The 12,206-nt window shown below is 42.5% G+C and overlaps 1 protein-coding gene across 4 annotated transcripts in view; it reads right to left on the bottom strand.

Annotated features, from left to right (window-relative positions):
- The window catches only part of ZNF726 (zinc finger protein 726), a 29,829-nt gene extending 26,379 nt beyond the window's left edge, over positions 1 to 3,450 (bottom strand). For all 4 annotated transcript variants that reach the window (NM_001348687.2, NM_001244038.2, NM_001348688.2 and 1 more), the window contains exon 1: positions 3,339 to 3,450. In NM_001348687.2, coding sequence (NP_001335616.1) covers positions 3,339 to 3,341 — 3 coding nt within the window. In that variant the 5' untranslated portion in view covers positions 3,342 to 3,450. The remainder of the gene's footprint in view (positions 1 to 3,338) is intronic.
- Between the last annotated feature and the right edge of the window lie 8,756 nt (positions 3,451 to 12,206).

Here is a 12,206-nt window from a genome sequence, read left to right as displayed (position 1 = left end):
CCTTTTCTTAATCGTGTAATGCATAGATGTTGAATACTGTAAGAAATTATTCTTCAAAAGTTTAGCTTGCTTAAGTTTCTTTGCCCTTTTTTCCCTTGCTTTCAAGGCCAGACTTCCTTACTCTCTGTGTTCCCCCTTCCCTGGTAAACAACCTTCTCGCCAGTTCTTATGTATGGAGCCACATCCCACACCTGCTACCCACTCTGTGAATTACCCCTCCCGTCACAAGGGCTACTTCCACCGAAACTGATCTTCCTGCCTTGCCACAGGTATAACCGCATTCCTGCACTTTTCAAGTTAGCCAACCGGGTTTAGCCAACTGGATTGTGCCATCCAACTCCAGCCAATGGAGACAGGACACAGTAAGAAGGACAAGCTGCTTAGAGGTAATAAAACCCCTCTACTTTCCTTTGTTCCTGCTTACTCTCATGGCAACCTACAAGGGGCACCCTCCTGCAGCTTAAGCTTTAATTTCCATGTTAGTTATTAATTTCATTTTTGAAACTAAAACTGTTAGAAAAAATCAGCAAAATTCCTCGGTGTTCATATAACGAAAGAACATTTTAAGGTGCTTACATTTTATACCTCAGTAAGAAAAGCAAAACTATGTATTCCTTTCAGACAGTAAATGTATTATTTTATTATTTGTATTAAAAATCAGGTAGTAAACAAACAAAAAAGGATACAGAATAAAGATATTCACTGTCAAAATTTTACCCTGCTAAAAAAAAGGAACTGAAGTTTTCAGTAATATATGTAACTCACCAATTATCTACCACATTTTTTGGGGAAATGTATTCATTGTCTACAGCTGAAATTGAACAGAGATTTTTTTTTTTTTTCTTTTTTTCTTTGGTAGCTACCATTCTAAAAGCTAGATGGACTTCTGTATGAAATCACTCAGCCATAAAAGCACATGCCTGAGAAAATTTCTAAACTCACTCTGAGAAAGATAAAGTAAAAGTTTTCAACAAGTAAAATATATTATTAATTTTTGAAACTCACCTTTTATGGCCTTTGTAAATATTTCCTTACCTTTCAAGCTCTACTAATAAAATGCAATACACAGTTAAAAAACTGAGGTCAGCTGAGCACAGTGGCTCATGCCTGTAATCACAGCACTTTGGGAGGCCAAAGAAGGTGAGTCACTTGAGGCCAGAAGTTTGACACCAGCCTGGCTAGCATGGTGAAACTCCATTTCTACTAAGAATACAAAAACTAGGTGGGTGTGGTGGTGCACACCTGTAATCCCACCTACTTGGGAGACTGAAGCATGACAATCACCTGAAGTCAGGATTTGGAGGTTGCAGTGAGCAGAGATGGCACCACTTTACTCCAGCCTGGGTGACAGAGGGAAACTCTGTCTTAAAAAGATACATAAATAAACTTTAGGTCAAAGCAAATGAACAAATCCTTTCAAGGTACAGATATGTTTTACTCATGTGTCAAGTCAGGCCATTCAATTAGTTGATTGTCTAAAACTGAAGTGTGACTGAAGATACGTCACCCTATGAAGTTTCCAAAAAAAAAAAAATCTTGACCCAAAAACATTCTAAGATATCTGTGACTAGGTAAAATAAAAGAAAAAAACACAGATATTTTACAATAGTGTCAGATTATTCTTTGCTTTATTCTCGTAGGAAATATTTAGAAAAAAAATCATTGTAAATGTGCCATCAAATGCTTTGTCAAAAAATAATTAATTCACCAGGCACGGTAGCTCACATGTGTAATCCCAGCTCTTTGGGAGGCCGAGGCAGGAGGATGACTTGAAACCAGAAGTTCAAGACCAGCCTGGCCAACATAGTGAAACCCCGTCTCTACTAAAACTACAAAAATTAGCCAGGCGTGGTGCCAGGCATCTGTAATTCCAGCTACTTGGGAGACAGAAATGAGAACCGTTTGAGCCCAGGAGGCGGAGGCTGCAGTGAGCCTAAGTCATGCCACTGCACTCCAGCCACTGCACTGCAACAGAGCAAGGCTCTGTCTCAAATACTTTTAAAAAAAAAAAAAGATTCATTAAAATAGGTATCAATATGTACACTAAAGGACAAATAGTTGATAAAGTCAATTAGAGAGGAGAAACTGGCATTTGGCAACGTCAGACAAAACTGGAAATTTAGTATTTTACTGCAAGCCAGTCAGGCTGGAGGAATAAGGGATGAGGGGCAGACTTGAGGCCCTGCTTGGGACACTTGTGAAAAATTCAGGGAAAAAATCAGTCCCCTGTGGAGTGTGAAAACCATTAAGTGGCAGGAAATTAGATTGAGGTGGCTCTAGTCCCTGGATTTCTACTTCTAAAAAAAAAGTCTAAACTCAAGAGCATTTTTTTGTAAATTACTACATTGGCAGAAACAAAATTCAGGCTTAACGCTTAACCAACTATAAACTGCCAATTAAGCTCTGATTACATAACCATGATATTTCCACCTTGATTGTAAAAATTAAGAACTAGGACGGGGGCAGTGGCTCACGCCTGTAATCCCAGAACTTTGGAAGGCCGAGGTGGGTGGATCACCTGAGGTCAGGAGATCGAGACCTGCCTGACCAACACGGTGAAACCCCCGTCTCCGCTAAAAATAAAAAAAATTGCCAAATGTGGTGGCAGGCGCCTGTAGTCCCAACTACTAGGGAGGCTGAGGCAGAAAAATCGCTTGAACCCGGGAGGTGGAGGTTGCAGTGAGCCGAGATCACGAAACTGCACTTCAGCCTGGGCAACAGAGACTCTGCCTCAAAAAAAAAAGAAAATGAAAACAAAACAACAACAACAAAATAACAACAAAATCTACATAACCGTACCTAGCCAATTACGGAATTTGGTTTTATGATGAAACTTATAAAAACCTTTCCTTCCATGGAATACAAATTAGAAACCACAGCAAGGTGCTCTAAAATTTTTGAATCACACTTTAAATTATTTAATGTTTTTGCAGTGAGGCCCATAAATTTTTAATAGGAAAAAATGGCCTGAAAACCCCACGGACCAAAGCTCTTCCCATTCATGAGCCCGCACCCGGAGTCAGGATTCTGCCCTGACGTTCCTCCCATGGTCCCTGCACAATCTGGGAGAGACGCGGGGCTACTGGTGCAGAGCTGCCCAAAGAGGGCTCCAGGCCAGGGCACAGTCACTGCGCAGTGAAGAGACAGAACGCCCGGGAGCCCGGCTGTCAGCGCAGCCGCCATCTTAAGGCTGAAGGGACTGAGGCCGAGCTGGGCAACAACTCGGGCGCAGATTGTAAAACTGACAGCGAGGAGGCCTGAGTCCCGCCACTGCCGCTTCCCACCGGTTCCAGCCAGCCCCGTTCCCTCTCTTGGGATGTCGCACCCGGCACTCTCACCATTTCTAGGCTTCCAGGGGGCAGGTCACAGGGCCACAGAGGCTGCGCCCCTAAAAGCAGAAGACACAGAGTAGTGAGGACGAGACCTGGAGCTCCGGCCGCAGATAGAGACAAAGGCCCCGCCAAATCCCGGAAGCCGCCCTGTTCGCTCCAGCTGCGTGCCTGATTGGACAGTTCCCAGGACAGCGTCTCTGATTGGATAACGTTTAAGAACCCCGCTTTCTAAGGCCCTGAGTGACAGAAGATGTCATCAGACGTTGGGCTGAATGAAGAAAGATTGACAGCCTAAGCCTCAGCCTTTTCAGGCGGGGCTTCCTCCCGGAGCTGAACGAGGCCCATCTCAGAACACGGAAAAATTTTCTCTCTTCTTTGCTGTCTTTTTTTCAACGTATTAAATATGTGAATAATTTTTTTTTTAGACAAAGTTTCGCTCTTGTTGTCCAGGCTGGAGTGCAATGGCGCGATCTCGGCTCACTGCAACCTTCGCCTTCCGGGATCAAGCGATTCTCCTGCCTCAGCCTCCATAGTAGCTGGGACTACAGGTGCACACAGCCACACCGGGCTAATTTTTGTTTTTTGGTTTTTTTTAGTAGAGATGGGGTTTCGCCACGTTAGCCAGGCTGGTTTCGAACTTCTGACCTCAGGAGATCCACCCGCCTCGACCTCCCAAAATGCTAGGATTACAGTCGTGAGCCACCATGCCTGGCCGACTCGATATTATCTTTAAAGCAAAATTAGGAATACCTTTATTCCCCAGATGTTGGAATATCTGGACACTCCTCCGTCTGGTTCTGCTTAGTAAACATTATTAATTCATTTCCTTAACCATAAATATCTAGAGGCTAGGAATGCCTAACTTACTGAGAATGCAGCCCAGCGAGTCTCAGCGTCATTTTCCTAGCTCTCTCTCAAAACGGAGTCGCTCTGGTTCAAATGATTCTGACATATTTTTCGCCTTCCTTTACAAGAGGACCCTTAATCCTAAGAGTTGCAGAGAGACAAAGATTCGTCTTCTGTAACTTTTTCAGGCTGATTAGGGGCGATAATATTCCTGCCTAACCATTGGTCTCTTGCATTCAGGGTAGAGAGAAATTCAGTCAGACAGTGTTGGTATGGTGAAGGTCGTTCATAACTTCTAGTTCCAAAAGAAGGTGATGTCTAGAAGATTAATAAGCGTCCAATTTAAGAAAGCATTTAGTGAGCTTGTCTTGCATTCCTACACAAAGAGTACAACCACAATATATTCCACAACAGCAAAGCAAAATTAGTAAAATTATTCCACGTAAACTAAACAGGAAAGCCTTTCAAGAAGTGGGCAGTTGTTAGAACCAAACTGATATATGGTTCACTGATAGCACATAAATGGCAGAGATGTGAGTGCATAAAACTTTTATGCCCTGGGTTATGTTATGTAAATAGTCTGGAGCACACACAAAACATTTGGTTTTGATCAAAGCATAGGTTTCCTTTTGAGTCTCTGTTTAAATGTCTACATACACAACAGTTTGTTCGATTATGTAGACAGGATGAAGTCTGTGCCCACTCAGTAAATAAGTTACTCTCTGCATGATTTCAACTAATTCCCAAAAGTAGAAAGCCAATCTATATCTTTATGTTACCCATCCCTTTCATTTCTTCTGAACAGGAGTCAAAGGTCACTGGCTCATGGGAATAAACAGGATCAGTTTCTTCTGTTCTGCCGTCCTGTAGGACTTCATAAGAGACAGGTTTAATTCGAGTTAAGTGGACCCAGCTATTTATTCCCAGAATTTTAACTGCAGTTGGGGTACTAAAGAGAACTTGATAGGGTCCCTTCCACTTTGGGGAAAGTTGACCTGCTGGGGATCCTTTTTTCCAAGTTTTTAATAGGACCAAATTTCCTGGCTGGGTTATAACAAGATTAGCTTCCTTAGTTGGGGAAAGGAGTCTTTGATTTCCATATTCAGAGTGTGTTTTGCACTTGTCACATAATTCTGTAACTTGAAAGTATCCGTGTCTATTAGGCACAGTAAAGAAGGCGTGTAGCTAAAAAAGGCCTTGCATACATTATTTCAAAAGAGCTGAGCTGCAGATTTCCCTTAGAGGCCACTGGAATCTGTAATAAGGCTACAGATAGTAAAGACAGCCAGGTCTTTGATATTTCTTGGCATAGCATAGCAAGAGTCCTCTTTTCAGTTTGATTAGCTCTTTTTACGTTCACTGAAGACTGTGGCCTTCACGCTGAGTGAAGGCAGTACTAAATTTCTAGGTATCAAGATATGTTTTGTGTATTTGTCACTGTGAAAAATAAGCCATTATCTCTGTGTAATTTCTTAGCAGCCCAAATCTAGGAATTATTTCTTCTCTTTTCTTTTCTTTTTTTTTTTTTTTTTTTTTTGCAAAAGAGTTTCACTCTTGTCACCCAGGCTGGAGTGCAGTGATACACTCTAAGCTCACTGCAACCTCTGCCTCTCAGCTTCAAGTGATTCTCCTGCTTCAGCATCCAAGTAGCTGGGATTAGATGTGCCCTCCACCACGCCTGGCTAATTTTTTGTATTTTTAGTAGAGACGGGGGTTTCATCATGTTAGCCAGGCTGGTCTTGAACTCCTGACCTCAGATGATCCACCCGCCTCAGCCTCCCAAAGTGCAGGGATTACAGGCATGAGCCACCTCACCCAGGGGTGTAATTATTTCTTTTAGCAGGAGTTTGGGAATCTCAATTGCCTTTTCAGATCGGGTAGGAAAAGCCTCGATCCAAAGGTGTCAATGAATACTAATAAATATTTAAACCCTTTACATGGGGTCATCTGAGTATAGTCTATTTGCCAGTCTTCACCAGGGTATGTTCGTCTATGCTGAATAGGCCTTACTAAAGGAGGAGGTAAACATTGGTCATTTGGGTTATTCCAGACACATCCTTCACAGGCTCAAGTAACCTAGTTTACTGTTTTAAGTAATCCTTTTTCTATAAAAAGCCAAGACATTATTTGAAACAGGGAATCTCTTCCCAAATGGGTAGAGTCATGCAAATGTTTAACTATTTTTTATTGATTAGCACCTCATATCAGTAGTTTATCAGGAGTGTCTAGCAAAATGCCTGCTATTTCAATAAGCGTCCCCCTGTCATCCACTGGTGTCCTTTAGCTTCTAGGACTCCTTGTACTTGGTGTGGGTTTTAACTTCCAGGTGTTGTTCTAAAGCCAGTTTATTGGATTCATCTACCAAAAGAGAAGTTGCTGCAACTGCCCTGAGGTATCCAGGCATGATAAGAAAGTTGTGTAAGAAAACCAAGGTCTCTGAAAAACAGCATGGAGAATAGGTAAAATGGCATCTATAGGCTTCTCAGTCTACCCCTGTGACCATGAAGTTTTGGGGCAACAGAGACCCATTATATGGGTCAAAACAGAGTAAGCCATCCAGAAGAAAGTTAATATTCTTTTTTGTTTTCTTTTTTTTTTTTTTTTTTTTGAGATAGAGTCTCGCTCTCTTGCCCAGGCTGGAGTGCAGTGGCACAATCTCAGCTCACCACAACCTCCGCCTCTTGGATTCAAGCAATTCCCAGATTTTTTTTTTTTCGTATTTTTAGTAGAGATGGGGTTTCACCATGTTGGCCAGGCTACTCTCAAACTCCTGACCTCAAGTGATCCTCCCATCTTGGCCTCCCAAAGTGCTAGGATTGCAGGCGTGAGCTACCACACCTGGCAAAAATTAATATTCTTACCTGCCATGGCAAAGGTTACTGAGGCTTCTCCAGATATATGGCTAGTTGTCTGATGGAAGCTGTGATGGAAGGTCTCAGGCCCCGTCACTCTTGGGCACTTGCCTGGCTGTTTCACCCATCATTAGTTTGGGTGCTGACGGCTCTCTTCAGAACACTGGACTATCCCTCTTCCAATGGCCTGTTTTCTTACAGTGTGCACACTGATTTATGCCCAAAGCACAGTGACTCGGATTCCCAGCTTTGGGCTTTTCACCTTTCAGCTTCCCTTGTTCAAGCCAAGACCTAGGAAGGCAACCTCCCATATGGGAGGTAAGCTTAAGGTTGCAGCCAAAAGCTGCACCTTGTGGAGGTCCTTCTTCCTCTTTCTCCTTCCTCCACTTTGCCTCTGTTATTAAAAACTAAAAATGCCATATCCAAAGCTGTTCATAGAAGTTTGGGGACCCATAGCTGCTTTTACTAGTTTTCTATGGATATCAGAGGAAGACTGGGTTATAAAGTGGACTCCCAGAAGGGTTTATCTTTACCTTGAGGCAAGATCCATGTTAGTATATTTCCTGATTGCCTCAACTAAATGCTATTGAAACAAAGCTGGATTCTCGTCTTTGCCCTGAGAAACTTCCTTAACCTTTTCATTGTTAACAAGGTTTTTCTTACATTTCTTCATCTCTTCCAACAAACAAGTAACCATATGATCTCTTCTCCCAAGTCCTCACTGCCCCTTTGATATTCCATCGTAGATCTTAATCTGGAACTGCTATACCTCCTGTCTGATATATATTATGGTTCAGGCTGCAAGCCAATACCTCATCTGCATGAGTCCTAGCTGTCCCCAAAATGCATTGTTTCTCTTCCACGTACAACACAGAGACAACAAAACATACAGATCCTGCCAAGTTAAAGTATAGGTCAGAGTTAACTTTTCAAACTCATCTATGAATTTTTCTGGATCTTCAGAGAAATGACCAAACTTGTCTTATTATAGAGCCAAACCAGACATAGAAAAGGGGACATGTCCTCTCACAATGACTTCTTCCCCATTTGCAACCTCTCTAAGTGGACAAAGATTTCCTTTTGGAGGTTGATAGGCAGCCCCACTACTAGTAGTACCCACTGAGTTCCATTCTTCAGGGCGTGGTGGGTGTAGAGAGGAACTAGAAGGGTAAGGAGGAGGGACAAAGGGTTCTCAATAGAACTTTCAGGTGAACTAGGGGCAGATAGGACCGACACATCTGAACCTTCAGACCTGACAGAAAGAGGTTCCACTTCACCCAAAAATGCTCACTGAATCAAGTGGCAGGGGGCTTGCAATAAATGATCATATTGTCTAACTCTTTTTATTCTATTTCTCTCATGAAACATGCCCATGCCTGCTGCAGGGTTTCATTCTGACTGAGCAGCAAAAATGCTTGAACTTACGATATTTTATCCCATTTTCCCTACCATGTACAGAACAAATCGAGTTGAACTATAGTATGAATACCTATTAGAGGCATTTTTTCTTGTATCATTCTGAAATTATTTGCTGATTTTCCATACATATCATCCTTAAGAAAGCGCAGGCTCTTAATCCAATCTGTAATCCCTATTCCTGAGGTTTTGGTAATCTGATGTTTCTCTTTTGTTGTAGACAGCCCTGAAGATGAGTTTTCACCCCAGAGAACAGAATGACAGAAGGCCAAGATGTGGTTGAAATGGCTGGTGAGAGACATTGGGTGAGGAAAGGCCAGGCTCACCAAGCATTCAGACACACCTGTGCAACTGTCCTTGCAATTAGGAGCCAGGCCCCAGTGAGCTTCTCACCACATGTGTCTTTGAACTATGCTAGGCCATGCTGTTGATTAGTTTCCTCTACTGAGCAGGTAGCTTATAGTCAGAGTATTTACACCCAGGAGAATGTTCCAGGCCAGCCCTGAGTCAACTTAAAATAATCAAAAAGTTAAAATGTAATCTGAAATATATTTACTCAAGATCTGATATTGAGGATGGCCATCAGGAGGACAGATTTAAGTTGCCCTGAATATATATTTCAATTAACAGCCATTGAAAGTGAGTCTTTTCAAAAAAGTGAGAAGCCAGTCCCTAAGTTATTTACCAAGAATTCATACTTAAATGCATAAGTTATTGATTGGCTACATATATTCTTTTGTTTTAGAAATTTCAGAATAAAGAAATAATGGGTGAGACTGCTAGTCAGAAACAAAATATCTTTAAACAATTGCCCCTAGTCCCAGCACTTTGGGAGGCCAAAGTGGGTGGATCACCTGAGGTCAACATTTTGAGACCAGTCTGACCAACATGGTGAAATCCCATCTCTACTAAAAATACAAAAAAAAAAAAAAAAAAAAAAAAATTAGCCAGGACTAGTGGCATGCACCTATAATCCCAGCTACTCTGGATAATCATTTGAACCAGGAAGTGTAGGTTGCAGTGGGCTGAGATTGTGCCATTGCACTCCAGCCTGGCAACAGTGCAAGACTCTGTCTCAAAAAAAAAAAAAAAAGAAAGAAAGAAATGAGTCACTATATTAACTCTGGGGGCATGATCACATATGACAGTCAGAATTTTTACTGTGGACTGCACTCACCTGTGAAATCAGTATCTCTCCAGTGGGCACTGTCCATGTGTCAGGGTGACATTGCTAACATTTGGTAGGTTGTGCATGTGGGAAACACAGTCTCACCTGTGTGCTTGGTTCTGTGATGACACTCTCTGTACCATCCAAAGACTTAATATAAATGTGAAAGAATGGTAATCCTCTATGATGTTATTATATAGAGAAGACACAGGAATATTCCCATTTCTCTAAGTTTAGTTACAAGTGCCAGTATCTCTCCTTTTGGCTGATTCATGGTATTTGTGTCATCATCACAACTGTGAGCTTGGGTAAGGTATATGTCACAACCCAAACTGTGAGTAGAAAAAAACAAAAGACTAACATCACCTGGGTGCTGGGTCAGAAATATGTCACAATTTTTCCAGGGCAGAGACCAGGCAGAGAGTAATATCACCTGGTTGCCTGGCCAGGGTTATGTTACAATTTTCTCCAGAAAGCAGGGCACAAACAGCAAAGACATATTACCTGGGTAATGGGCCCAGCTATATGTCACAATTTTTTCTGCAGGTAAGACCTGGGTACAAGAAAAACACCACCTGGTTGCTGAACCCAGAAGTATATCACAATCTTCTGTGTGGGCATGATGCAGATGCAAGAGGAAAGTCATACCTCAAAGTAAAGGATGCAGAGACATGTCACAAGGCCTCTAGTGGGCAGGGCCCAGGCTAGAGCCTCTCACCCACTTGATTTGACCCAGCAATATGTTTTAATACCTAAAATAGATGGGGCCAATTTGAAAGAGGAGAGTGATAAGGGCTGGTGCAGTGGCTCATGCCTATAATCCCAGCACTTTGGGAGGCTGAGGCTGGCAGATCGCTTGAGGTCAGGAGTTGGAGACCAGCCTGGCAAACATGGCAAAACCCCATCTCTACTAAAAATACAAAAATTAGCCAGCTGTGGTAGCACACACCTGTAATCCCAGCTACTCAGGAGGTTAAGGCAGGAGAATCACTTGAACCTGGGAGATGGATGTTGCAATGAGCCGTGATCACACCACTGCACTCCAGCTTGGGATACAAAGTGAGATGTCATCTCAAAAAAAAAAGACAAAAGAAAAGAAAAAAGAGGGTGATATCACCAGATGCTGGGTCCAGTGATATGTCACAATTCTCCCTTTATACAGGGCTCAGGTAGAAAAGGAGAGTTACATCACTTAGGTGATAAACAAAATATGTCATAATTCCCCTATTGGAAGGGCTCACGTGGGAGAGTTAGATCACATAGGTGTTGGACCCAGCCGTATTTCAATATACACAGTTTTTAACATACACAATATACAATTTGTATATTGAAATGTGGCTGGACCCAACACCTAGGTGATGGAACTTTTGAAATATGCCCTTTTTGGGCAGAGCCCAAGCACTAGAAGAGAGTAACATCACCTTATTACTAGGTGAAAAAAATATGGGACAATACTCCCTGAAAAATGAAGAGCCCATGCAGCAGTCTACCTAAATTAGAGCTTCAGAGATATGTCAAAACACCCTGTGTGGGCAAGGCTAATGTCGAAGAGAAAAGTCATAACCTAGGGCCTTCACCTAGTTATATGTCACAATCACCCCAGTGGGCAGTGCCCAAGGATGGGAAAAATATTATGTAAGTGCTGAGAAGAGTGATCTGTCACAATCCCCACTGTTGACAGTTCTGAGACAAAAATAAAAAGTCATATAATCCAGTTTAGTGGGCCAGGGACATTCACTATGTCCTCTGTGGACAGGTATAAGGCAGAAAAATTACATCACCTGTGAAATGTCACTAGGGATTAGTCACTCTCGCTTCTGTGGTCTGGGTCCAGATAGGAGAAAAGAGAAACATTACATATGTCTCCTAGGGAAAAGCCCATGTAAGAGTGGAAAGTAACCCATCAAATAGATGGGTCCAGGAATATGGCAAAATGCCTCCTGTAGCCAGGGTCTAGGGCAGAGATTCATATCTCCTGGGTGTTAGACCCAGGGATATGTTACAGTAGCCAATGTGGGCAGGGCACAGAAAGGACAAGCACATTACCTGGGTGCAGGGACCAGTGATATGTCACAATGCCCTCTTTGGCAGCACCAAGGCATGAGTTTAGGGTCACATCATCTACATACTGGTTCCAACAATATGTCCCAATCCCATCTGTGTGCAGGGCCCAGGCAGGAGTGTCAAATCACTCAGGTTATGAACAGAGATGTGTGTAACAATCACACATGCAGAAAGACTCAGGGATAGCATGAATAACTTTTCACATATTCCCATTCTAGGTATGAGAGTCAAGACCATTTGGAGGTTGGGTCTAAGTATGCAAATCACAATCTCAATGTGGACAGGTTTATGAATAAGAGTCTCATTCTCTCCTTCAGACTGTGTCTCCTCAGTAAACGCCATAGTCTCACAGGTGTGCTGAATCTTGATCTGAGTCAGCAGCCTAGCTGTGGACCAGATCCACATGTGAGAGTCAATTTTGCAGCTTTCCACTTCCTCCAGGGATGAGATTCAGAACTTCAGAAGTAGATTGTGTTTATCTAAAAGGATGACGTATTTACTGTTGACTGGTTGTGAATACCAGTATCA

Source organism: Homo sapiens, chromosome 19, assembly GCF_000001405.40.
Source record: "Homo sapiens chromosome 19, GRCh38.p14 Primary Assembly".
In the NCBI taxonomy this organism is placed as follows: Eukaryota; Metazoa; Chordata; class Mammalia; order Primates; family Hominidae; genus Homo; species Homo sapiens.
The sequence above is the reverse complement of the archived record's forward strand: the minus strand, read 5'-3'. Positions and strand labels throughout refer to the sequence as shown.